General features: G+C 44.0%; 1 long non-coding RNA gene and 1 pseudogene across 2 annotated transcripts in view, besides 3 other annotated features; one reads left to right on the top strand and one right to left on the bottom strand.

Moving 5' to 3' along the window:
- SLC7A14-AS1 (SLC7A14 antisense RNA 1) overlaps nt 1-27,607 on the bottom strand; it is a 287,921-nt gene that overhangs the window by 95,935 nt on the left and 164,379 nt on the right. The gene's annotated exons all lie outside the window — the stretch shown is intronic.
- RPL28P1 (ribosomal protein L28 pseudogene 1) lies at nt 4,970-5,335 on the top strand (annotated as a pseudogene).
- Nucleotides 24,547-24,756: an enhancer, noted in NCBI's record as "active region_20806". NCBI's record gives its function as "activates an Ori minimal core promoter by ATAC-STARR-seq in GM12878 lymphoblastoid cells {active_cell/tissue: GM12878}" and the evidence as "EXISTENCE:reporter gene assay evidence [ECO:0000049][PMID:35858748]".
- Nucleotides 26,078-26,157: an enhancer, noted in NCBI's record as "active region_20805". NCBI's record gives its function as "activates an Ori minimal core promoter by ATAC-STARR-seq in GM12878 lymphoblastoid cells {active_cell/tissue: GM12878}" and the evidence as "EXISTENCE:reporter gene assay evidence [ECO:0000049][PMID:35858748]".
- Nucleotides 26,218-26,267: an enhancer, noted in NCBI's record as "active region_20804". NCBI's record gives its function as "activates an Ori minimal core promoter by ATAC-STARR-seq in GM12878 lymphoblastoid cells {active_cell/tissue: GM12878}" and the evidence as "EXISTENCE:reporter gene assay evidence [ECO:0000049][PMID:35858748]".

Here is a 27,607-nt window from a genome sequence, read left to right as displayed (position 1 = left end):
GGCTGGGCACAGTGGCTCATGCCTGTAATCCCAGCACTTTGAGAGACTGAGGCAGGTGGCTCACTTGAGCTCAGGAGTTCAAGATCAGCCTGGGCAACATGGCAAAACCCCGTCTCTACAAAAATTAGCCTGGTATGGTAGTGCATGCCTGTAGTCCCTGCTACTCAGGAAGCTGAGGTGAGAGAATCTCTTGAGCCCAGGAGGTCAAGGCTGCAGTGAGTGAAGATAGCACCACTGCACTCCAGCCTGGGCAAAAGAGCGAGACCCTGTCTCAAAAAATAATAAATGAATTGGCTTACCCTACTTTACAGATGAGGATATTAAAGTTCAGAGAGGAACAAATGTGTTCTTTTTTGGAAAGGAGCCATGAAAGCAAATCCAAATAGAATCTCAAGGCCACTCTTACTTTAACAGATCATGTACCCCCTCTCCCCTTCCCCATGCCACTGGACTGAAAGGAAACCAGCAACAGCCTGGAACGGGTGATCCCAACCACCCCATCACAAATGGAGATTCCCATTAGAAAGTCAATACAGGGGAAGGGACAATAGAGGTCAGAGAGTCATCTTCATTTGCCTTGCGTGCAACTGTGGCATGTGTTTTTGCAAAATCTCCCCTGGTGATTCTCACTTGTGCCCAAGTTAGGGACTTCTGTACTAGATTAGGCAGCCTCCCATCAATGGGTCCAAGACAAAAACTCCGCTTCATACCAGGAGTCCTGTGAATCACCTGACTCCAAGTGAAGTTCTGTCCACCAAAGATACATAGCTGACAAGACATTCAATTCAGGAGCCCTTTCTGGAGGACAGGCAAACCCCTCCAAACAAGATGGAACTACCCATCTCAAGTGAGTTAAATTGCAATCAAAGCAAAACTCTACCCTTGGCTTTATCACTGTGAGAAACAGCCGTAAAAGAACCCCTTCTAATTATTTTTTGCAGAATTGCTATTAAATGCCTTCTAGAGTGTGTTGAATAGTGGCATCCAAAAATGTTACATCCAAGTCCTAACCCCTGGTAACTATGAATGTGACCTTATTTACTGGAAATGAGGTCTTTGCAAATGGAATTAAACTAAAGATCTCAAGATGAGATCATCTTGGATTTAGGCTGGGGCCTTGATCCAATGACTGATGTTCTTATAAGAGGAAGGAGAGGGAGTTTTGAGACACAAAGACACAGATTTAGGCTGGGGCCTTGATCCAATGACTGATGTCCTTATAAGAGGAAGGAGAGGGAGTTTTGAGACACAAAGACACATATGAAGATGAAGGCTGAGATTGAAGTAATGCAACCCAGGGAATGCCAAAGATTGCCTGCAACCACCAGGAACTGAGAGAGAGGCATGGAATGGAGTCTCCCCTACAGCCTCCAGAAGGAACCAACCCTGACAGCACCTTGATTTTGGACCTCTGGCCTCCAGAAATGTGAAAAAAAGTAAATTTCTGTTGTTTTAAAACACCAATTTTTCTGTCAATTGTTATAGTAGCCCTAGAAAGCTAATGCATCTTATGCATTACATCACAGTTCATATCAGGGAGTAAACAACAAATTTCCTTATAGAATTCAGTATACGGAAGCAGCATGTGTCTCCTGATAAACACACAAAGAGCAATAAGATTGTAACTTGACAATTTCACACTTTTTTTAAAAAAAAATCGATAAAAATTAGGGCTCAAGTTCAGTGATTTCCCATCTTGAATTCTTGCCATAAATGTCTGCTTGCTTTTCTGTTTCTGTTCTCTCTTTCACTTTGAACTTTATTTTTAGTTTGCTTACTGTGCACCAGGTTATATTATAAATCACCTAAAATCCCTTTTGAACAGAGATGGCTACAAAATTATAAATAACAGCAGAGTGACTGAAAGAATGAGCTCAAGAATCAAACTTCCTAGGTTCAAATACCAGCTCCACAACTTAGGAGCTAGATGACTGTGTGCACACTCCATGCCTCAGTTTCCTCAGCTGTCACATGGGAATAATATCAGTATTGTTCTATAGGGCTGCTGCAAAGGATTAAATAAGTTAACCAATACATGCAAAGCACTTAGAACAATGCCTGACATCTAAAAGGTATTCATTTCACAAATGTTGGCTATTACTATTGTTTGTCTGTGTTACTGCCTTAGTTACAATGCTCTCCTGGAGCTTCACTGCCTTCAGGATGAAGTTCAAGCTCCCTGCCACAGCACACAAAGCTTTCCATGATGGCTACCTGGGGGCTGCAACTTGTCTCTGCCAAGGGTGTCCTAGCTGACCCTCCAGCAATGCTGACCACACCTGCACACTTGGCTGTCTTTTCTGCTAGGGATTCTCTAGTTAACTCCTACTTACCCCTCAAGGCTCGGCCCTGGGGTTACCTGTTCCTGAAACCCAGGCCTCCCCTGGGTTGTGGTAGGCATTCTTCATCCCAGCTCTCTCTGTGCTCTGGGCCTGTCTCCATGTCTAGCTCACCATGTCCATAATCTGTTAGAGGGATTTGTGTTGTGTCTCCCTTGTCCAGGATGCATCCAGATCTCCTGATTTCAGTTGTGTTTGTTAGCAAAGAATGAAAGCACGGAAGCCCTTTGGAAGATGAGCCATCAGGCTGTGGTGAGGGAGGCTCCCTGTCTGAAGTCTGTATCCTGACTGAGCAGGGTGCCCCCGGAAGGGACAGATAGCCTCCAACTGTTTAAAGCTCCAGAAAGTTCTGCAAACCACATCTGGTCTGCTAATGCTTGGGGTAAAAGCTGGCTTTTCCATTAAGGCCTTTGAACCTTAAGGCTGGTGTTACACAGTTGGTTAACTGTCACTCTGCATTTAGAGTCACTGACCCCTATTTTGAGGGAGTTAAAGAATAACAGCCTCTGGGAGAAATAGAGTTTCCAGATAGATGACTTTGCTTGAGCACATTTGGAAGCATGACATTAAATCCTGTGAGAGGTTTGCCCTCATGCCCTTTTTGAAGACACACACACACGTATGCATGTATATCTGGGCACATGCACACATGTATGTGCATAAGAGAAAGAATTGGTCAGTGCCCTGTGGTATCATGGGAACATCCTCATATGAGAATCAAAGGATAACAGGTTCAGGGAAGAAACCCGCCCATGGACTTGGGTTTAGCTGGCCCTGTGTCCCACCCAACCCAGCTCTCCAGCTTCCCCCGACAAAGTTCCAGACCTCCTCTCCTGGGATCCCTTATTCCCACTGAAGGCAGTATACAGAGAGTGAGGGCCCCAGACTTGGGGCCTGTGCACATCCTGAGATGGAAGCCTGAGCCTGCACAGGGGGAGAAGTGGAACAGCCAGACTGCAGGTTCTCAGACAACACGGGCCCCTGTGCTCTCCAGGGCCCTCCTGAGGCTGCACCTTTTGACACTCTCCACCATTCAAGGGGCCCTTTGTGGTTATTCAGATGAAGAAAGATCAGGAGGTCTTCAGATGCAGAAAACAAGATATTAGGGGAGTAGAAAGGGAGCCAAGGTGATTTCTCCTCAGGTGGACCTGCACCAACAGCCAGTGTGGAAACAGTGTGGAACCTGGAGTCAGGCTGGCCTGGGCTAGAGCCAGAGGTGGGAGGAGGAGGGCAACTGGGAACCTGCTACATCCAGGCTAGACTGTAAATGTCTTCGGATGGGTAGCTGGTGCCAGGCACTCCTCCCTGTAACCACCCATAAAGACTGGCATGGAGCACATTTTCTTGCACACAGAAATCCTTGTACCATCAGCCTGTACCATATCCCCACTCTTCCACCCCCCAATCCCAACCTTCCAGGAGCGAAGGGGTGGAAACACTGATACTCCAGCCTCACCTGATCCAGCCTCATCATTCAGAGGGTAGGGAAATAAGACTCAATGTGCTTATGCCAAGATCAGATCTGCTTTGAGCCTGAGTTGCCTCAAGCAACTGAACGCCTCTCTGGCCTTGGGGCAGGTCTCTGGTCACTTACATAGAGGCCAAAAATCAAGTGCAAGCAGTAGGCAAGGCATGAAGTCAAAGTCAGATCATATGCAGGATGACAAGCGCCCAGTGGAACAACCATCGGCCTGAGTTGTGGTCTAGAGCTAAGATTGGACACCACCAGCAGCAAGGAGGTGGCAGCCAGTCAACCAATAGGTTCTAGGTGGTGAGGACGGAGCAGGGAACAAAATCACAGAAACCCTATCTTCCTGGAACCTACATTTCTCACTGAGAAGCAAAGGCTGGTGGCCCAACCCAAGTCTGAAGGGTTCACTGTGGCACAACGAGGCACTCAGACTCTGGGTTTGACTCCTCTTTGCCTCTTACATCTGTGTGACATTACGCAGGCCATTTACTTCTCCAGATCTCAATTTCCTCATCTGTAAAATGGGGTTAATAAGACCAGCAGCCTCAGTGGGCTGCGGCGAGGATTTTGTCAGTAAAGTAAAGCACTAAGAACAGCATGTGACTCACAGTAAGCAAGGTAAGAATTTCTTTGCTATTGTCCTGGACACTGCCCTTACAAAATTGCCAGGAGTGTGCAATGCTTGCACTGCAGAACATTTTAAAGAGGCCACCCAGGGCCTGCCAGCTTGTGTTCCATCAGTGGTGACAAATTTCTGCCTGGCCTCAGACAGGTCGCCAATTGTTCTCAGCCTCCATCCCCTTCCCCATTCCTGGGGTGGAAGAGGAGCAGATGATGCTGGCCCACTCAGGAGGTCCTAGGAGGCAATCTGAGGTCACCACAGAAGAGTCAAGGCAGGAGATTCCAGGCTAGCCATGGAAAGAGGTGGCAAGGCTTCATCTGGCAGGGTAAGCAGGAGCTCCGGGCTCACAGAGGTTACATATGCGCCTCTGAACATCTTGGGTGGCATCTGGAGCTGTTGTGTCATGATTTACTGAAAGCTGTACTTAAGTTAAATCAAGGTTGGAAAGGCTAATGAATGAACTCCTACCATTTAAAAAAAAAATAGTCGCCTTATTTTGATGAAGTTGGGATAGGAACAAGCAAGAAGAGTATCCAGCTCCTTCCGTCTCCGGCGTTCGCTGTGAGAGGAGCTGCCGCCATGTCTGCGCATCTGCAATCGGTGATCATGCGGAACTGCTCCAGTTTCCTGATCAAGAGGAATAAACACACCTACAGCACCGAGCCCAATAACTTGAAGGCCCGCAACTCCTTCCCGCTACAACCGGCTGATTCACTGCAAGACTGTGGGCGTGGAGCCGGCAGCCCATGGCAGAGGTGTCCTGGTGGTCACGAAGCGGAGATCCGGCCAGCGGACGCCTGCCATCTCCTACGTGCGGACCATCATCAACAAGAACGCTGGAGCCAAACTCAGCAGCATCAGATACATGATCCGCAAGAACAAGTACCGCCCTGACCTGCCATGGCTGCCATCAGCAAGGCCAGCGCCATCCTGCGCAGCCAGACGTCTGTGATGGTGAAGAGGAAGCTGACCAGCCCCACAAAGAGCTTGTGAGTTGCCTGCCCCCGAGCAATAGTCGGCTGGCTTTCTCACAAAAGGAAGAAGAAGAAGGAGGAGAAGGGAGAAAGGGGAAAGGGGAAAGGGGAAAGGGAAGGGGAAGGGGAAGGGGATGCAGTGTCCTGCAAAAAACTCAAGAAGACTTTTACTATTTGCGCTGATTTGTCATCCCCTAGGCATAGTCAGAAATAATATGAATGTCCGGCCACCTTGAAAGCCCTTGCAGTGTTTAGAAAATCTGTACTCTCCAATATGACAGCCACAAGCCACATGCGCCTATTGAGCACTTGAAAAGTGGCTCCTTGAGATATGCTGTATGTGTACACTCTGGATTCCAAGACTTAGTATGGAAAAAAAAATGTAAATATCTCATTAACAATTTTTATTGATTACGTATTGAAATACTAATATTTTCATATATTGGCTAAAATAAAATGTATTACTAAAATTAATTTCATCCATTTTTCTTTTTTTATGTGGCTACTAGAAAATCTACACATGGGGCTTGCTTGATATTTCTATTGGATGGTGAAGTTTAAACAGAGAATGGTGCTCATGGGGTCTGCCTTTCCCAGTGGTGCCAGCAAAAAGACTTTGCAGTGGAGAAAACCCTGGGCCAGGAGACTGCAGATCCAATTGATCACTTCACCTCAGCCACCAAGTTGCTGGATGGCTTTGGTAACAATAGTGATAGTAGCAAACACTTCCATAGTTTTTTATGTATATATGGAGGCCAGGTGCTGTTCTAAACATTTGACACATGTAAATTTCTCACTAAAACTCTATGAGATGATAGAAGCTATTATTAGCTCCATTTTCTGTATGTGGACACTGAGGTGTTAAGAGGTTAAATCACAAGCCCTAAGCTCACGACTGGAAATTGGTAGAGTTAGGATTCAAAGCCAGGCAGTCTGGTTCCAAGGTCTGTGTTGTAAACCACCTCTTACCTCAAGTAATCCAAACTCGCTTGGATTCAGTTTCTTCGTCTAAGAAACAAGGTTCAGAAGACGACAAGGGTGACCGCAGGCTGTGTAGATGTAAGCTGGCAGAAGCTTAGGAAAGGAAATTACATTGAAAGAGCTTCCCATCCACAAAGCTACTAAAACCCAAACCCAGTGCTTACAATAATGTCTTCCCAAATGCCCCCAAATGAAATTAACTTTTTCTCTTCTTATGCTTCATAACATTCTGATACATTACAGTCCTTCACACATCTTATCTTTCATTGCACACACACACACACACACACACACACACACACACACACACACACGTGTATATATATCCATTTCCTTCATTACTGTTCAGATTTTTTAAAGGCAGGCTGTCTTACAGATCAGTGCTTTTTAACTGGAGGTTAAAATTTTGCTCCCAGAGGACATTTGGTAATGTCTGGAGAAAGTTTTGATTAACACAACTTGTGAGGTTGGAGGTATGTTGCTACTATCATCTAGTGAGTAAAGATAAAAAATGCTGCTAAGCATCCTACAAAGCGCAGGACAGCCCCCTACAACAAAGAATTATCTGGGCCAAAATCTCCATACTTCCAAGAGTGAGAAACCCTGTCCTTCATTAGATCATTAGATGATCCATTGTGCCTAAAACATGCATGAAACAATAGGCACTCCATAAGTGACGAAAGATTGATTGATTGATTGATTGATTGATTGAAAGAATAATAAATACATATTCACCTATCTGCCCTGAATGTAACTTCCTTTTGGTTAGGCTCATCAAATATGTATTCAATGCCCACTATATGCCAGGCACATTCTAGGGCTGGGGGATAGGGGAATGCAAAGTTCTGAGGCACACGAGGCCCCTGTCCTCAGGGTAGGACAGTCTCCTAGGGGAGTCAGAGTCAAAGCAGTGTGTCAAACGTTAAGTGCCCTCAATCTCGCCAGCTCTGGACAGGAGCACCACACAGAAACTTTGTGAAGACAGATGACCCAGCCAATCCTGGAGATACTCATCATTTTTTCTCAATCTTTATTTTGAAAAATGTCAAACATACAGAAAATGTGGAATAACAGTACAATACACATATATATATACATAGTAACATTTAGATAGATAGATAGAGAAATATAAATACACACAAAATGCTTTGGAAAATAAGATGCAGACATTATGACCTCAGCCAAATACATCAGCATGCATAGGACAGACCTGCTGATTTAATCAGTCTGGAGTGGGGCCTTGGCATCACTAGTTTAAAAAATTCTCCATTTGGGTAAGGGCCAAGATAGCCGAATGGGAACAGCTCTGGTCTGCAGCTCCCAGCGAGACCAATGCAGAAGGCAGGTGATTTCTGTATTTCCAAATGAGGTACCAGTTCATCTCACGGAACTGGTTAGGCAGTGGATGCAACCCACAGAGAGCAAGCAGAAGCAGGGCGGGGCATGGCTTTACCTGGGAAGTGCAAGGTGGCAGGGGACCTGCCTCCCCCAGCCAAGGGAAGCCATGAGGGACAGTGCTACCCGCCCCGGGTACTATGCTTTTCCCACAGATCTTCGCAATCCACAGATCAATAGATTCCTTTGTGAGCCTACACCACCAGAACCCTGAGTTTCAAGCACAAAACTGGGTGGCTGTTTAGGCAGGCACTGAGCTAGCTGCAGGAGATTTTTCATATCCCAGTGGCACCTGGAACCCCAATGGGACAGGAGAACCGTCCACTCCCCTGGAAAGGGGCCTGAATGAAGTTAGGGAGCCAAGTGGTCTCACTCAGCAGGTCCCACTCCCACAAAGCCCAGCAAACCAAGAACCACTGGCTTGAAATTCTCACTGCCAGCGTAGAAGTCTGGAGTTGACCTGGGATGATGGAGCTTGGTGAGCAGAGGGGTATCCACCATCACTGAGGCTTTAGTAGGCAGTTTTCCCCCGACAGTGCGAAGGAGACTGGGAGGTTTGGACTGGGCAGAATTCACCACAGCATGGCAAAGTGGCTGTGGCCAGACTGCTTCTCTAGATTCCTGTCACCGGGCAGGGCATCTCTACAGGAAATGCAGCAGCCCCAGTCAGGGGCTTACAGATAAAACTCTCATCTACCTGGGACAGAGCACCTGGTGGGAGGGGCGGCTGTGGGCCCTGCTTCAGCAGATTTAATCTTTCCTGCCTGCTGGCTCTCAAGTGAGCAGCTGATCCTGACAAGGGAGATTCTCCCAGCACAGCACACCAGCTCTGCTAAGGGACAAACTGCCTCCTCAAGTGGGTCCCTGGCCTCCGTGCCTCCTGACTGGGAGAGACCTCCCAACAGGGGTCGACAGACACCTCATACAGGAGAGCTCCAACTGGCATCTGGCAGGTGCCCCTCTGGGATGAAGCTTTCAGAGAAATAAGCAGGCAGCAATCATTGCTGTTTTGCAGCCTCCACTGATGATACCCAGGGGAAGAGTGTCTGGAGTGGACCTCCAGCAAACTGCAGCAGACCTGCAGAAGAGGGGCCTGACTGTTAGAAGAAAAAATAACAAAGAGAAAGCAACAACAAAAACAACAAAAAAGACCCGCACACAAAAACCCTATTCAAAGGTAATCAGCCTCAAAGATCAAAGGTAGATAAATCCAGGAAGATGAGGAAAGACCAGTGCAAAATTCTGAAAATTCGAAAAGCCAGAATGCCTCTTCTTCTCCAAATGATTGCAACTCCTCTCCAGCGAGGGCACAAAACTGGTTGGAGAATTAGATTGAGAAATTGACAGAAGTAGGCTTCAGAAGGTAGGTAATGACAAACTCCTCTTAGCTAAAGGAGCATGTTCTAACCCAACGCACGGAAGTTAAGAAATTTGATAAAAGGTTACAGAAATGGCTAACTAGAATAACCAGTTTAGAGAGGAACATAAATGACCTGATGGAGCTGAAAAACATAGTACAAGAACTCCGTGAAGCATACCCAAGTATCAATAGCCAAATTGATCAAGTGGAAAAAAGGACATCAGAGATTGAAGACCATCTTCTTGAAATAAGGCATGCAGATGAGAGTAGAGAAAAAAGAATGAAAAGGAATGAGCAAAGCCTCCACGAAGTATGGGACTATGTGAAAAGACCAAACCTATGACTGATTGGCATACCTGAAAGTGACAAGGAGAATGGAACCAAGTTGGAAAACACACCTCAGGATATTATTCAGCATAACTTCCCCAGCCTAGCAAGAGAGGCCAACATTCAAATTCAGGAAATACAGAGAACACTACTAAGATACTCCATAAGAAGATCAACACCAAGACACATAATCATCAGAGTCTCCAAGGTTGAAATGAAGGAAAAACTGTTAAAGGCAGCCAGAGAAAAAGGTCAGGTTACCTTCAAAGAGAAGCCCATCAGAATAACAGTGGATTGCTCTGCAGAAACCCTACAAGCCAGAAGAGAGTGGGGGCCAATATTCAACGTTCTTAAAGAAAAGAATTTTCAACACAGAATTTCATATCCAGCCAAATGAAGCTTCATAAGTGAAGGAGAAATAAAGTCCTTTACAGACAAGCAAACGCTGAGGGATTTTGTCACCACCAGGCCGGCCTTACAAGAGCTACTAAAGGAAGCGCTCAATATGGAAAGGAAAAGCTGGTACTGGCCACTGCAAAAAGCACACCAAAATATAAAGACCAATGACATTATGAAGAAACTGCACCAAATAATGGGCAAAATAACCAGCTAGCATCATAATGGCAGGATCAAATTTACACATAATAATATCAACCTTAAATGTATATGGGCTAAATGCCCCAATTAAAAGACACAGACTGGCAAATTAGATAAAGAGTCAAGACCCATCCATATGCTGTATTCAGGATACCCATCTCACATGCAAAGACATACATAGGCTCAAAATAAAGGGATGGAGAAATATTTGCCAAGCAAATGAAGAGGGAAAAAAAGCAAGTTGCAATCCTAGTCTCTGATAAAACAGGCATTAAACCAACAAAGATCAAAAAAGACAAAACAAGGGCATTACATAGTGGTAAAGGGATCAATTCAACGAGAAGAGCTAACTATCCTAAATATATATGCACCCAATATAGGAGCACCCAGATTCATAAAACAAGTTCTTAGAGACCTACAAAGAGACTTAGACTCCCACACAATAATAGTGGAAGACTTTAACACCCCACTGTCAATATTAGAAAGACCAATGAGACAGAAAATCAACAAGGATATTCAGGACTTGAACTCAGCTCTGGACCAAGTGGACCTAATAAAGATCTGCAGAAGTCTCCACCCCAAATTAACAGAATATACATTCTTCTCAGTGCCACATAGCACTTATTCCAAAATTATCCACATAATTGGAAGTAAAACACTTCCCAGCAAATGCAAAGGAATGGAAATCATAACAAATCATCCCTCAGACCACAGTGCAATCAAATTAGAACTCAGGATTAAGAAACTCCCTCAAAACTGCACAACTACATGGAAAGTGAATAACCTGCTCCTGAATGATTCCCAAGTAAATAACGAAATTAAGGAGGAAATCAAGAAGTTCTTTGAAGCCAATGAGAACACAGAGATAACGTACCAGAATCTCTGGGACACAGCTGAAGCAGCATTAAGAGGGAAATATACAGCACTAAATGCCCACATGAGAAAGTGGGAAAGATCTAAAATCTACACCCTAACATCACAATTAAAAGAACTAGAGAAGCAAGAGCAAACAAATTCAAAAGCTAACAGAAGACAAGAAATAACTAAGATCAGAGCAGAACTGAAGAACATAGAGACACGAAAAACCCTTCAAAAAATCAATGAATCCAGGAACTGGTTTTTTGAAATGATTAACAAAAGAGATAGACTGCTAGCCAGACTAATAAAGAAGAAAAGAGAGAAGAATCAAGTAGATGCAATAAAAAATGATAAAGGGGATATCATCACTCTTCCCACAGAAATACAAAGTATCATCAGAGAATACTATAAACACCTCTGTGCAAATAAACTAGAAAATATAGAAGACATGGATAAATTCCTGAATACATACACCCTCCAAAGACTAAACCAGGAAGAAGTCGAATTCCTGAATACACCAATAACAAGTTCTGAAATTGAGGCATTAATTAATAGCCTACCAACCAAAAAAAGCCCTGAACCAGATGGATTCACAGCCAAATTCTATCAGAGGTACAAAGAAGAGTTTGTACCATTCCTTCTGAAACTATTCAAAACAATAGAAAAAGAGGGACTCCTCCCTAACTCATTTTATGAGGCCAGCATCATCCTGATACCAAAGCCTGGCACAGACACAACAAAAAAAGAAAATTTCAGGCCAATATCCCTGGTGAACATTGATGTGAAAATCCTCAATAAAATACTGGCAAACCGAATCCAGTAGTACATTAAAAAGCTTATCCACCATGATCAAGTTGGCTTCATCCCTGGGATGCGGGGCTGTTTCAACATATGCAAATTAATAAATGTAATCCATCACATAAACAGAACCAATGACAAAAACCACATGATTATCTCAATAGATGCAGAAAAGGCCTTTGATAAAATTCAACATCCCTTCATGCTAAAAACTCTCAGTAAACTAGGTATTGATGGAACGTATCTCAAAATAATAAGAGATATTTATGACAAACCCATAGCCAATATTATACTGGATGGGCAAAAACTGGAAGTATTCCCTTTGAAAACCAGTGCAAGACAAGAGTGGTGTCTCTCACCACTCCTGTTCAACATAGTATTGGAAGTTCCGACCAGGGCAATCAGGCAATAGAAAGAAACAGTGCATATTGAAATAGGAAGAGAGGAAGTCAAATCATCTCTGTTTGCAGATGACATGATTGTATATTTAGAAAACCCCATCGTCTCAGCCCAAAAACTCTTTAAGCTGATAAGCAACTTCAGCAAAGTCTCAAGATACAAAATCAATGTGTAAAAATTATAAGAATTCCTATACACCAACAGTAGACAAGAAGATAACTAAATCATGAATGAACTCCCATTCACAATTGCTACAAAGAGAATAAAATATCTAAGAATACAACTTACAAAAGATGTGAAGGACCTCTTCAAGGAGAACTACAAAGCACTGCTCAAGGAAATAAGAGAGGACACAAACAAATGGAAAAACATTCCATGCTCCTGGATAGGAAGAATCAATGAAAATGGCCATATTGCCCAAAGTAATTTATAGATTCAATGCTATTCCCACCATTGGGAATCCCATCAAGCTACCATTGACTTTCTTCACAGAATTAAAAAAAACTACTTTAAATTTCATATGGAACAAAAAAAGAGCTCATATAGCCAAGACCATCCTAAGCAAAAAGAACAAAGCTGGAGGCATCATGTTACCTGACTTCAAATTATGCTACAAGGCTACAGTAACCAAAACAGCATGGTACTGGTACCAAAACAGATATATAGACCAATGGAACTGAACAGAGGCCTCAGAAATAACACCACACATCTATACCATCTGATCTTTGACAGACCTGACAAAAACAAGAATGGGGAAAGGATTTCCTGTTTAATAAATGGTTTTGGGAAAACTGGCTAGTCATATGTAGAAAACTGAAACTGGACCCCTTCCTTACACCCTATCCAAAAATTAACTCAAGATGGATTAAAGACTTAAATGTAAAGCCTGAAATCATAAAAACGCTAGAAGAAAACCTAGACAATACCATTCAGGACATAGGCATGGGCACAGATTTCATGACTAAAACACCAAAAGCAATTGCAACAAAAGCCAAAATTGACAAATGAAATCTAACTAAACAAAAGAGCTTCTGCACAGCAAAAGAAACTATCATCAGAGTGAACAGGCAACCTACAGAATAGGAGAAAAACTTTGCAATCTACCCATCTGACAAAGATCTAATATCCAGAATCTACAAAGAACTTAAACAAATTTACTAGAAAAAAACAAACAACCCCATCAAAAAATGGGCAAAGGATATAAACAGACACTTCTCAAAAGAAGACATTTATGCAGCCAACAAACATATGAAAAAAAGCTCATCATCACTGGTCATTAGAGCAATGCAAATCAAAACCACAATGAGATACCATCTCACGTCAGTCAGAATGGTGATTATTAAAAAGTCAGGAAACAACAGATGCCGGTGAGGCTGTGGAGAAAGAGGGACACTTTTACACTGCTGGTGGGAGTGTAAATTAGTTCAACCATTGTGGAAGACAGTGGGGTGATTTCTCAAGGATCTAGAACCAGAAATACCATATGACCCAGCAATCCCATTACTGAGTATATACCCAAAGAATTATGAATCATTCTGCTATAAAGACACATGCACACATATGTTTATTGCAGCACTATTTACAATAGCAAAAACTTGGAACCAACCCAAATCCCAAATGCCCATCAATGATAGACTGGATAAAGAATATGTGGCACATATACACCATGGAATACTACACAGTCATAAAAAAGAATGAGATCATGTCCTTTGCAGGGACAAGGATGAAGCTGGAAGCCATCATTCTCAGCAAACTAACACAGGAACAGAAAACCAAACACCGCATGTTCTCACTCATAAGTGGGAGTTGAACAATGAGAACACATGGACACAGGGAGGGGAACAACACATAGTGGGGCCTGTCAGGGGCTTGGGGGGGCAAGGGGAAGGAGAGCATTAGGGCAAACACCTAATGCATGAGGGACTTAAAATTTAGATGAAAAATTGATAGGTGCAGCAAACTACCATGGCACACGTATACCTGTGTAACAAACCTGCACATTCTGCACATGTATCCCAAAACTTAAAGTAAAAAAAAAAAATTCTCCATTTGGACCCACAGCCAGACTTGAGAACTCCTGGGATATAGGAACTGTAGGAACCAGACCTCTTTTGGGAAAGAGAGATGGCTTTCAGGAGGAGGTAAAGCTGAAGCTGGGAACCTGAACAAGCACAACAGTGAAGCTGTAGAGGGAGGAGGGAAGGACTTGAGGGGAATTTATCTAGGAGGTAATTAGAACCACCTGGTGACTGGAGCCTGGCCTGCTTCCTGGTTCCCTTTTCCCCTCTCTGGCTGGCCTGTTTCCATTTACAGGCTTACCTTCCAAGTCTCTAGAACCAAGACTGGGTGACACAAGGAGGTACTGCTCAAAATCAGATCACCCTTGCTTGGGTCCCCATTCTGGCAGCTGCACTTCTGCTCTGTACCCATGGCGTGCCTCAGCCCTGGAATCCAATATTTGCCCCTGCCGGCCCTTGTGTTTGTGTTTGTGTCTGTATTAGCCTGTTCTCGTGCTGCTAATAAAGTCATACCCAAGACTGGGTAATTTACAGAGGAAAGAGATTTAATTGACTCACAGTTCAGCATGGCTGGGGAGGCCTCAGGAAACTTACAATTATGGCAGAAAGGGAAGCAAACATGTCCTTCTGCACATGGTGGCAGGAAGGAGAAGTGCCATGCAAAGGGGGAAAAGCCCCCCTTATAAAACCATCAGATCTCATGAGAACTCACTATCACAAGAAGTGATACAATTCAATCACTTGAATTAAAGTGATTGAATTGTATCACTTCACACAAGAAGTGTAACAATTCAAGATGAGATTTGGGTGAGGACACAGCCAAAACATATCAGAGTCTCAGCAACCTGACCAGAGACACATGGGCCTTCTAAGATTGGAGCCCTCATTAATCCTTCTCCCTTTATTAGAGGTTTCTTAAGCTTTTGCCTGATTTCTGAATCCTGCCTGCTCCCAGGCTTACAATTCCACCTTCTATGCACTGCTGGGCCCCTCATGCATACCAGCTGTGTCACTGGGGAGTGCACGCCTGTTGCAGTGTCCTCTAGATGCCTTCTTCCACCTGCTTAATGCACGTCCTGCCACCCCACCCACCCTGGGAGCTGGGTCTGTTTACAGGGCCCTTTCCCTTGCACTTACGACAGCCCTGGTGCACTTCCCCACTTCTGGTTTCCATCTCCTAATCTGTACACAAGCAAGAGGCTTGCTTTAGTGATCCCTACAGCCTCTTTCAAGCCAAACATTCTATGATTCCCAAATCTGATCAATGATAACAGTGAGCATCAGAGTGCATGCAGAAAGTCCTTATGTTGGCTCTGGTTATCTTAAAACTTAGCCTACTAGCACATAATCTCAACATTCATAGAGGGCAAAACCATCAAGCAGGCTTGTTTTTAGTCAACGCACAAACAAAACCTGCATGGTTGGTTGATTGCATTGTTGAATAATCTCCTGGTAAGTTTCCTATTAATTTAAGTCTTTGTACCTCCAGCATTCTGGCTAATGCTTCACTCCACTCATCTTAAGTATATTTAGCTCACTCATTTTCCTCAGTTCTGTAAATTGAAGCAAAATACCTCCATGCTCCCTCTGATTTCCACAAAGCCTGCAAAAGCAGCTACCTTTAAAGAGGTCAAAACAGAAGAGATGCCACTTAAGGACAAATGAGGTCAGGCCTGGCCCTTGGACTTGGCTCTTCAAGTTCTGCTCTGTTGGCTGTGTACAGAATAAATTTTGGCTCCCAGCTGGCTGTGGTGGCCTGGACACAGATACACTGTGTTCATGGGCAGATCACAAGGGCCAGACCAATGATCTTTGCCAAACTCCTCACAGGCGGGAGGTTCTGAATCCCAGGGACTTCCAAGGTGGAAAGAAACTGCAGGTCGTTCAGGGCAACCCCTCTCCTTTACAAAGAAGAAAATGAGGCCCAGAAATGTCAAGTACCTTCTCTGAGGTTGCACATCAAATTAGTATGTGCTCATCTATGCTGTCTCTTTCATTCTGTCTGACCTGGAAATTCTGCTTTGTGGACTTTATGCCACAGATCTGCTCACACACAGGCACAATGATGTATAAGCAAGGTTATTCACTGCAACACGGCAGCAGAGTACAACACTGGAAGCAGCTTCAGTAACCATCAGGAGAGGACTGATGTTCAATGGAATGCTAAGCACCTGTAAGGAAGACTGAGGTAGCTCTCCATGTGCTGATATGGAAAGATCTCTGAGATACCTTAGATGAAGAACCCAAGGTGCTAAGCTGTGCCTATGGTATGCTACTGTTTGTGTGAAAATGGAGAAAAAGGCTAAGAGTATATGTGTGTGTGTGTGTGTGTGTGTGTGTGTGTGTGTGTGTTTGCTTATAACAGGTATGACTTTCATCTTGTTTGCCTATAGAGAGGGGAACTGCATGGCTGGGGATGCGAGGCAGAATTTTCACTATAAAACTTTTAACTAGGCTGGGCACGGTGGCTCACACCTGTAATCCCAGCACTTTGGGAGGCTGAGGCGGGCCGATCACGAGGTCAGGAGATCCACACCATCCTGGTTAACATGGTGAAACCCCCTCTCTACTAAAAATACAAACAATTAGCCAGGCATGGTGGCGTGCGCCTGTAGTCCCAGCTACCCGGGAGGCCGAGGAAGGAGAATTGCTTGAACCCAGGAGGCTGAGGTTGCAGTGAGCCGAGATCGCACCACTGCACTCCAGCCTGGGCTACAGAACGAAACAGTGTCAAAAAAAAAAAAAACTTCTAACTGTTGGTGCCATATTATTACTCATTCAAAAGCTTAAGTAAACATATAGACCATGTGGCAGACTGGGGTCCAGGTGGCTTGTCCAAGGTGATTCAGCTGGCTAAATGACAGAGCTGCTCCTGGGTCCCGGTCCTCCTTATTCTTGGCATGCACATACAAAAAAAAATGCTTTCCAAAATACTTGTTAAGTTCTAGAAAGAGGGAAGTGGTCAATTCAGAAGAGGAGGGGAAAATGGGGGAGGGGAGTAGAATACTGTTAAGGTGAAGACAGAAGACAGGGGGAAGAGGGAATGGGAAGCAGGAATGGAAGGAGAGTGGGCGGGAGCAGGAGCCTGTAGGAGAGAATGTGAATTTGCAGCCCGAGTGCCCTTGCAGACTCAAGATGGCTCCAGCTCAACATGCGCTTGTAGCCAAGATTCATTTGCTAAGCAGCAATAGCAAGAGAGTTAGTCCAGGAAGGAGGTGGCTGAGTGCAGCCACAAGCTCTGTAGAGGGCCATGAGCTATCCAGTCGGCATCCACCTCAACTCAAATTCCACAGAATAAGCCTCTCTGGGCAGCTGTGCTCTGCCATGTGCATGAGTTCAACAACACCACAGCCTCCCCCAAGAAATCTGCACATTCATTTTTCCAGCCTCCTGAGAGAGTGACACCTTTTGTGTGACATGACACTTTGTTTCTCCACCAGAGGTCTGACAGAACTTTCTGGGGTGTTGACTGGACACAGCCTTGGGCTGGTGCCACTGTGGCCCTGGGCAGAGGTCCTATTGAGTCAGCCATTGTCTCTTTTCCATTTTCTAAACATGCCCCTTACAGTTAAGAGAACTTGTCTGCCAGAACACCATTTTACGTACTCTCCCTTGTCAGCTCAGACCATTTTGGAGACAGGAGAAGAGAAAGGTCTTGGGGAGTCAGGCTCTGGGCTGTCTCCACCCTCTTGTGATAAGGAATGGAGCTAGCTTTCCTAACAGCTGAAGCTCAGGCTCCATTGCTGGGACTCTATCTTACATTCTTTGGGAATCAACTCTCCTTTGTTGTCTTTCTTTTTCTCATTTGTTAAGCACAGAAGCAATTTTCTTTCTGGGTCTGTTTAGACAAACTAATGTAAACACCATGAGAAGCTTCAAACTCTCTCTGCCGATAGGCCAGCTCCGTTTTGCAGTCAAAAGTCATGTCTAAGCAAGGAGCCTGATGAGTACAAGGGGAACCCTAGAGGTGCTGTGGGACCATCCTGAGGTCTCACTGTGGCCTGGCTTCCAAGGGTCTGGGTCCCCAACCCCCAGCCATAACTGGGTCACAGGCTCCAAGGCACATTGTCTCCCTGGAGGATGTTTCAAATGGCTTGCCTCAGTCAATGCATTGTCAGAAAGGGGAGGGGAAGGCATCAAAGAAAGGGTTCATCTGACATAGGAAACCTCTTTGTGCAGAGATGACACAGTGATGCCTCAATGAACACACAAAGCATCTTTCACTAAAATCAGCCAGGCACAAAGGGGTAGCTGTGGTCTCCTAGACCCTTCTGCTCTGGTTGGCTGGTGCTGCAGCTGTGGAGGGAAGGCAGGGGTGTGGTCTCAGCACAGGTGTAAGCCCCGTACAGGTGGGCCATGTGTGTAGGATAAGGGGAGCTCACAATGTTATGGGCCTTGGACTTGTGCAAAGACAGCCAAATTCAGAGTCCTTTGGAATATAAAAACTTTTGCTCAGTCCCACAGCTTGCCTGGTCCAAGACCAGAGAGAGGCAGTCTGGGACCTCCTACCCTGGAGCCCTCTCCAAGTCGGCACACCTTATGTAAGGTATTCTCTCTGCCGCACCTCAGCCATTCATCCTCCATGTAGTTGCAAGATCAATCTTACTGAAAAACAGCTCTAATAACATTACTTACCCATCAAAAAACTATGATGACTTCCTGTTTTTACTACAGAATGATGGGCTAGTTTCTTAGTAATTAACTTACTTAAAACTAGGTGTAATAGGGGAAAATTTTCCAATTTTCTTATGGCAGTGAAGCTGAGGCCTGGCCCTCTGACTGCAGTTGGGAGATTTCTCCATTCCTGGTAAACTGCTCTGGCAGCATATATCTATTTCAAGCTACTTCTTAAGGCAATACATGGCACCTTTGAGGCAGGGTTTCATCCTCCATGGCAATTACTATTGGATGGTAGGACAGTCATGATCATTAATTATGAATATCTGATCTGACACAGTTTTGAGAAAGGGAATTGATTGATGGCAACTGTTCCTAGTATTTGCCATTCATACATTATAGAATCAAGAAGAAAAAGTGTGCGTGTGTGTGTGTGTACATAATCACAAACTATACTGTGTTCTCCTCATCACTAACAGTCTATTAATGTAGTCATTGCCAACAGCAACACATAGGTCCTGGTAAAGTAGTTGTCTCTGTTACAGCAGGGTGGGAAAGAGAGAAGGAGGCCCCATCACTGGGCCATGGTCAGGGAATCCATGTCTAAGTCTCATCCCTGTGACTATTATATCAGCTTCTGATAATAAAAATTTTTCTAATAAATATTGTCTTTGGAATCTCCTGTGGTGAAATTTATTCATGAATAAATGAGAAGGAGCAGGAAGCATTGGCTGGTAATACAATGCAGAGTAATTCTGAAATGAATGGAGAGGGTGACATCTCAGGATGTTCAAGCATGGCACAAGCATGATCTTAGCTGTAAAATTAACTCTGTCACCCCACAACATTCCCACATTCTGGGTTTCACTATCTCCTACAACAAAACTCAATCTTGCCCCATCGTTTTCAAGCCTCTGTTGAGACTTAAATCATTAGTACCTGGTCCAACACTGGTTCTGGGAGAATGTACCAGCATTGTTGGGTTCTGCATGCTGTAACCCAACCTCGGAAGACCAGTTGGTTCTGGGAAAACTCTTATCTGCCTCCATCAACCACTCATGTTATCTAGGCTGAGCCACTTTCCCCAGGAAAATCTTTAAACTTCTTTCCAGTTCAGACCGACTGCTTGGATGTGGCCCACAGTGAATCCAGCCTGGGCCATCATGGTACTCCAAGTGGCTTCATTTTCCATAGAGCTTAGTGTCCAGTAAATACCCAGGCATTTCCGAATTTCACCCCATTAAAACTGAAGCCTTTCTTGTGAAAACAGGAGGAAATTATAGTCACTAATCTGAGATCAGGCGACAGTTACACTCCTCTGTAGACCAGGGGCCAGCTTGCTGATAGTCATCTTTTCTGAAGTCAGGCCAGGACCTTAGGTCTTTAGGAGAAGGCCCAAATCTAATTTAGCAGAGGGATAAGACACCAGCTTGCCAACACAGCATCTCCAAGTCCCTTATTTCTCTAGGCAGACATCTGCTACGTTTGGCTTCGAGTGTTGTCTGTCAGTTAATAGCAATGAAGTTACTCCTGAGGCTCCAATATATGACAGATTTGTGCTTATTCATTTCCCTTTCCTTCATTACAAATTGTTTTGATTATAATTAGTGTACTCCATGGAGTGCTATTGGATTTTAGAATCTTTAATTATCTATAGTAAATATATTTCCTTTTTATACCAAAATACTTGGTAAATTGGTGTTTAGTTGAAATGTCCTGTCAGCCTCATAAATAAATAACAGTTTGCACTCCAATGGTCGGCCACATTCTGGACATCTTCTCAGAGTGGAAGCCTGGGGTGGGAGATGGAGGATGGAGGGTGAGAAACTTCCTGACCTCTTCCCTTGTTGCACTGACTTGGGTGGTCTGGGCTTAGTAAAGCACTTCTAACCTTGGACTTGTGTTTTCCCAAAGCAAGTGGAAAAGCATCATCAGCTCTCAGGTGAGGAGCTTTGGCTTGGACTTTTGGCCATGAGCACAATTAATCAACAGGTTATGCAAATTAGATGGTAATTAATTCCTGGTAGCAGGCACATTTCCATTCAGACTGCTGCATATGCTGTGTGGTGATCAATTTGGTCTCCAAGGAAGCCCTGCTTCTTCCAATGTTGTGGGCCTTGGACTTGTGCAAAGACAGCCAAATTCAGAGTCCTTTGGAATATAAAAACTTTTGCTCAGTCCCACAGCTTGCCTGTTCCAAGACCAGAGAGAGGCAGTCTGGGACCTCCTACCCTGGAGCCCTCTCCAAGTCTGCACACCTTATCTAAGGTGTTCTCTTTGCCACACCCCAGCCATTCATCCTACATGTGGTTGCAAGATCGATCTTCCCGAAAAACAGCTCTACTCATGTTACTTAGCCATCGGTAAACTATGATGACTTCCTGTTTTTACTACAGAATGGTGTGCAAATTTCTTAGTAATTAACTTGGTAATTAAAACTATATGTGGTAGGAGAGAAATTTCCAATTTTCTTATGGCAGCGAAGCTGAGGCCTGGCCCTCTGACTGCAGATGGAAAGTTTCTCCATTCCTGGTAAACTGCTCTGGCAGCATATATCTATTTCAAGCTACTTTTTAAGGCAATACATGGCACCTTTGAGCCAGGGTTTCATCTTCCATGGCAATTACTATTGGATGGTAGGACAGTCATGATCATCAATTATGAGTATCTGATCTGACATAGTTATGAGAAAGAGAATTGACTGATGGCAACTGTTCCTAGTATTTGCCATTCATACGTTACAGCATCAAGAAAAAATGTGTGTGTGTGTGTGTGTGTGTGTGTGTACAAACTATACACAGTTCTCATCACTAACAGTCTATTAATCAGTGGGCCCAAAAAATACATTGGCTGCCCCATAATTGCAAACAGGGCCTGTGGACTCAGGGCTAGCAGCTAGATGGAGATCACAGTGAAGACTGGGAATGCCTATTGGGAAGGTGCTCCAGCCAAAGAATTCAAGGGACCAGAGGTCAAGAAAGAGCAGAGAATCAAAGCTGGGCCCCTTGTGGGGAGGCCGAAGTCAGGCAAAACAAGTGACAAAGAAGGCGGTAAGTGCAAGCTGAGCAATTATGTGAACAGAGGCAGAAAAAAGGAACTTTGGAACTGAAGAAAGCTGTTCCATGGCTTGTTCCATTTCGGAGTACTAAAATGTCACCTTCTCAGAATGGCCCTCCCTGGTGTTCCTGGCTAAAAGAGTAGGTTCTGAGACTCTCCATCTGAAACTTGCTTTATTGTTGTTCATAGCTCTTTTCTCCGTCTAATAAGATATTAATTTTTCATTTCCTTGTGTGTTTATTATTTGTAACCCCCAGCAGAGTGTAAACTCACTATAAGTGGAGACATTTTCTTGTTCACTCTGGTGTCCCCAATGCCTAAGACAGCTCCTAGGACAAAGTAGAGTTTCAATAGATATTTGCTGTCTGAATGATGAACTCACTTAACAGATGAGGAAAGTGGGGTTCAAAATGAGGAGTGGCTTACAGAGGTCAGGAGAGCTGTAAACATCCTGCGATGCAGAGGATCCCCCCCTAGCACCTACAACCGAGACTTAGCCAGCCCAAAATGTCAGTGGTGCCCAGCTGAGAAACACTGGGCTACACAGACAGGATGGGAGGTTGGCAATGGAAGAGGAGGGTGTGGAGAGGATGTGCATGACCCAGACCTTGGATGATGGGAACATTTGCACATATGGAGATGAGGAAGAGCTGGCGAGGGAGGAAATTAAACATCTGTCCGCCATCCCCAGTGTGTGGCCTCCCTCATTTTGTGCCTAGCACTCCCTCCCTGAAGTTGTGCGAACCAAAAATGTCTCCAGACATTGGCAAATGTCCCCTGGAGGACAAAATTGCCTCTGGTTGAGAACTGCTGGAGTCTAGCCAAAGTCAGCTCTCCCCTCTCCTTCCTCAGAACTCCAACCTCACTGTGGGAGACACTTCTTAAAGGCTGGGCACTGCTTAACTTGCTCATCTTCTCTCCTGCTGGGTGGTGAGCTCTTCATCCTGACCCTGGAGGCATTTCTCTCACGTGTGGGAGTAAGGGGCATCAGGGCATCAGTTTCTAAAGCACTTGGTAACCTTTGGAGGAGAAATAACCTAATTTAGAGCCAAACAGAAATAAATCAAGACTCTAGAGATAGTTTGGATATCACTGGCTGCCATAAAATTGTGATGACATTAAGCCATCCTGCTAGATTGATTTGTAAATGATGCTAACATAGCTCTGATATTATAAGGAAGGCATTTGAAATAAAAGACAAACAACTCTCTATTTATCACTGCTGAACATTTGAAGGAAAGCTGGAAAAGGAAAGAAGCATTGAGGGCAGAAATCCAAGAGACTTGATTGACAGTTCAGACAATAGTCCCTGAGGGGCACCCTCAGAAGCTCAGGGCTACTTTATTTAGCATTTAAAGATGTTGCTATCTGTCCATTCAAAGGAAAAAAATAACCTTTTTTGTTTGGTTTGATGTTCTTTCTTTCTGGTTTAAGATTCAGCACATCACCCAGAGGGGTGAATTTCATCAAAATATTTTCCCCAAATGATCTACAGTTCCATTTTGTAATATGTTGCCACCCACGTCAATAGCTATTGATATTCTGTAATTTTCAGTGACTAGCTGAAGCTCTCCCATGCACTACACTAATCCAGCTGCTTGTTATAGGTAAAAATAAAGGAAGTGATTATTACGCTGGTGGAAAACTCAGTTGCAGCTCAAAGACTACATAACTATAAATTGCAGAAGGATTAGGAATTCATGGTTGGGTAGAACAATTATAGGTCAGCAATTTCATGTTAAATTGCTTATTGCAAGGTGGAAGTGGAAGATACTGCCAAGCAAAATCAATTTACCTTGAAAATAATTAGTGAGATGCAAACACCTGGAGATGGGAAATTCGTTTGAAAGTAATTATTGCTGCTCAAATCTAGCCAGTCTCTTTCAGCAGCAAGGACTGTCTGCAGATGGAGATTTCACTGAATTGAGTGCTGCTTGAAAGGATCTGTTGGATTCTCATCTAAAATCAGCTTGAGTTTAGCATTATAGGGGAAAGCTCACGCTGTACAAAGAGCTTAATAGTCAGGATTAGATGGGTTTCTGAATGCACAGGGAAGAGAAAAATGGGAAGCAATATGTGAACTGAACAATCAAGTCAGATTTAGAGGCCTTAGCCTGGTCTAGTAACCCAGTTAACTGCCAATTCCTTTATGTGGATGAGGAAAGATGAATGTCTCCTTTATTCACCATATGCAACACACCCTCAGTCATTGAAGACAGAAACATTGAACGGAGTGACACATTGCTTTTCCATGTGCAATTTGCTGTATCTTTACTGGAGAGCATTCCGAGTACTGAGGCAGAAGTTGTGAAGTCAGTTAAAATCACCAGCAATGGTTGGCAAGGAAATTTGAACAATAAAGAAGCTGAGACTCTAAACACACCCCACAAGACTGGGTCTCACATCCCTGAAGGGAGGGGAAATTAGATAGGGCAGATGGTTTTATTGCATTGAGGTATACTTTGTCCTTTAGAGTCATTTCTATCATCTATGCTAAAGACAGAAATGAAAACAGGTTCTGCAGACATGCAGCTGGTCCTGTATCACACAACGCTCCAGTGAGTTGAAGAGGGCAGATCTGCATGAAAACACAACCAAAAGAACAGGTAAAAACAGCCACAAATCACCAAATGACCAGAGGGACTGTTGTCTTTGGTTTGTGGTCTTTCTGCTTCTGTAGGATCAGCCAAAGTAGTCAGTCCTTGGAGACCAATTGGAGTCCCCTTTGTTTCTGCTTCTGTGGCTGCAGCTTGGATAGAGATGACTTGCTCAGGCTGCAAGCAAAAGCCACAACTCACAGAAGGGGCAAAGAAGAGAAAATGAATCTCTGAGATATTTTTTTTCCTTTTTTTTTCTTTTTTTGAGGTGGAGTCTCGCTCTGTCACCCAGGCTGTAGTGCAATGGCGCAGTCTCAGCTCACTGCAACCTCCACCTCCCGGATTCAAGAGATTCTCCTGCCTCAGCCTCCCAAGTGGCTGGGATTACAGGCACCCACCACCACACCCAGCTAATTTTCGTATTTTTAGTAGAGACGGGTTTCACCATGCTGGCCAGGCTGGTCTCAAACTCCTGACCTCACGATCTGCCCACCTTGGCCTCCCAAAGTGCTGGGATTACAAGAACGAGCCACCGCACCTGGCCCCTCAGAATTTTTTTTTAACTTAGTTCTTTTCAACTTAGTTTAAAGTTGAGGCTCATATACATACATTCAGCCCAAGGCACCAGCCTAATCTCTCCTGGGTAAGCATTAGGAAAAGGCACCTCAACCTCTGGGGTACACAGCTTGTTGAGCAGATTGCAGGTTGAATTTTAGGACGCAGCCATTAAACCAACATGAATATGTCTATCAATGTCTGTATTGGTCATGTCCCAGAAAAAAAATAGATGGCACATTGAAATTAGGGCAATTCAAGGACAGCATAATAAAGGGACATTTATGAAGGTGTAGGCAGAGTATGGGATAGCACAGTACTCCTAGGATGAAGGTCAGAGTGTTACAAGAACCAGGTAAGGGAGGATCACTAGGAGAGGGTCTACTTGGCAGGAGGTGTGGAGCTGTGACCTCCAGAAAGCCCCACTGGAGGCCATTCCACAGGGGAGAAGTCAAAAGAATAAACACCCCAGCCTCATCTGCTTCTTCCCTCCAAACTCCTCTGGGGCGCCTCATAGGCTGAAGTTACCTGATAAGCCAGAGGTCAAGGTATCCCATTGAAGTGGCCTATGGGGTCAGCCTAGGGCAGAGAGCAGCAGGTTGAGGGTGGAGAGTGGATCTAGGGGCACACATGGGAAATATCCAGCTCACAGTTCATGACCGGGCTGCCCCAGTGGTTTATTCTTTCTAACGTGTGTTCAGAACCACCTCCTCGGTGCTGGACCTGTTCTGGGGGCACGTTGATGTGTCCATTATGAATCCCTAGCCTCGAGAAGCTTTTTTCCAGCAGGGAAAATGGTTGTTTGGGGGCTTTGGTTTTGGCTTTTTGCCTGTGAATCTCCTGCCAGAGAATAAGTCCCCAAATTTTGGGAAATGGAACTTCTTTATTTCCAGCCATGTGGCTTCAGCTTTCACCCTAGGTGACCAGAGGGGGCTGATATTATCCCGAAGGCTCCTGACAACTTCTATTTTATGAGTGCATCCACTTTATAAAATATTAACCAGAAAAGTATTAAAATTTGCAAATGCAACAACAGACCCAGAGGGACAACGTGATGATACCATTTTTTATATATTTTTTTAAAACATGAAAAGCATTTCTGAAAGACAAAGGAAAAAAAGGTGTGTCTTTGTTCTCCTTTCAATGTAAGCAGAGTGGTATATGTTTGTTTTCTGCGGACATTGCTGATTCACCAAGGATTCAAGAATTACTAATGAGTGTTTTTCACTTCTCATTTACAAATGGAATACATTAAGAAATTACTCAGCCACACTCGGTGTGGTTTTTAATTGAAACCAACCTCTCTGTACGGATGAGTGGAATTTCTTTTTCTCTGCACACAGGGGTTGGTTGACATTTTCAGCTTCAGAGGGCCTGAAATGTGGTCAACACATTTGTTTTCACATGAACAACCCCATGTGGTCTGTTTAAATAGAGTAACCAAATTGTCTAATTTTCACAGAACTCATTTCTCTCTGCACGAGCACTTTCATTGTTCCCCACCTTCTGAGGTAGAGAAAATGCACTAGATGACACTTTTATTAGCCTAACTTCTGCCCTTTATTTTTCCCCTTTAATATCAGACCCACAGAAAATAATAAGCAAACCATAGACTAGAAAGAATTATTAACCCAAATGTGACAAGTGAAGTGTAAATATCCTCTTATTTTCAAACACTAATAAAAACTAATAAAAATCTGATACCAACAAGTAGATGGACAAAGGACATAAACCAAATGATGCATCCAGAAATCACAGTTACTGCCCAGCGTGGTGGCTCATGCCTGTAATCCCAGCGCTTTGGGAGGCTGAGGCGCACGGATCACCTGAGGTCAGATGTTTGAGACCAGCCTGGCCAACACGGTGAAACGCTGTCTCTGCTAAAAATACAAAAATTAGCCAGGAGTGGTGGTGCACACCTGTAATCCCAGCTACTCAGGAGGCTGACACAAGAGAATCACTTGAATCCAGGAGGCAGAGGTTGCAGTGAGCCGAGATTGCGCTGCTGCACTCCAGCCTGGCCTGGGCGACAGAGTGAGACTCTGTCTTGAAAAAAATAAAATAAAATAAAGAAAGAAATCACAGTTACTAAACAAACATGGGGGGAATGTTCAACTTTATTTACTCGTTCATTTATTCATTCATTTGTTAAATACTTATTAAGCACCCACTCTGTGCCAAGTACCACACAAGATCCTGAAAATATGTAGATTAGTAGAACACAAACCTCATCCACAAAGGGTTCCAATTTTAGCAAGAGAGAACTGTAAACAAGATCTATGGACTAGGCTGTTGTGTTCAGGGAATGATAAGCAATTTAAAAAGCTAAAATGGTTAAGGTAGAAAGAGTGAACTCAGCCCTAAAAGAAACAAGAACTCAAACAAGTGCCATTTTCAATGAGGAAACTGGCACATATTTTTAATGTTAATATTTAATGTTGTAGTGCTTGCTTTGGCAGAAGATATATTGAACTGGGCTGACTCTGTGGCAATTTTAGTAGTAAAATCCATGACTCTCTAATTCTATTTCTGAAGTTCCATATTAAGGGTATAATCTATCGAAAAAGCTATATGTCATAAGATGTTTATATATCATACAACATTGTTATGTATAATAGCAAATAATTGGAATCATCCTAAAT

This window comes from Homo sapiens, chromosome 3 (genome assembly GCF_000001405.40).
Source record: "Homo sapiens chromosome 3, GRCh38.p14 Primary Assembly".
Taxonomy (NCBI): Eukaryota; Metazoa; Chordata; class Mammalia; order Primates; family Hominidae; genus Homo; species Homo sapiens.
This window is presented reverse-complemented; position numbering and strand designations above follow the sequence as displayed.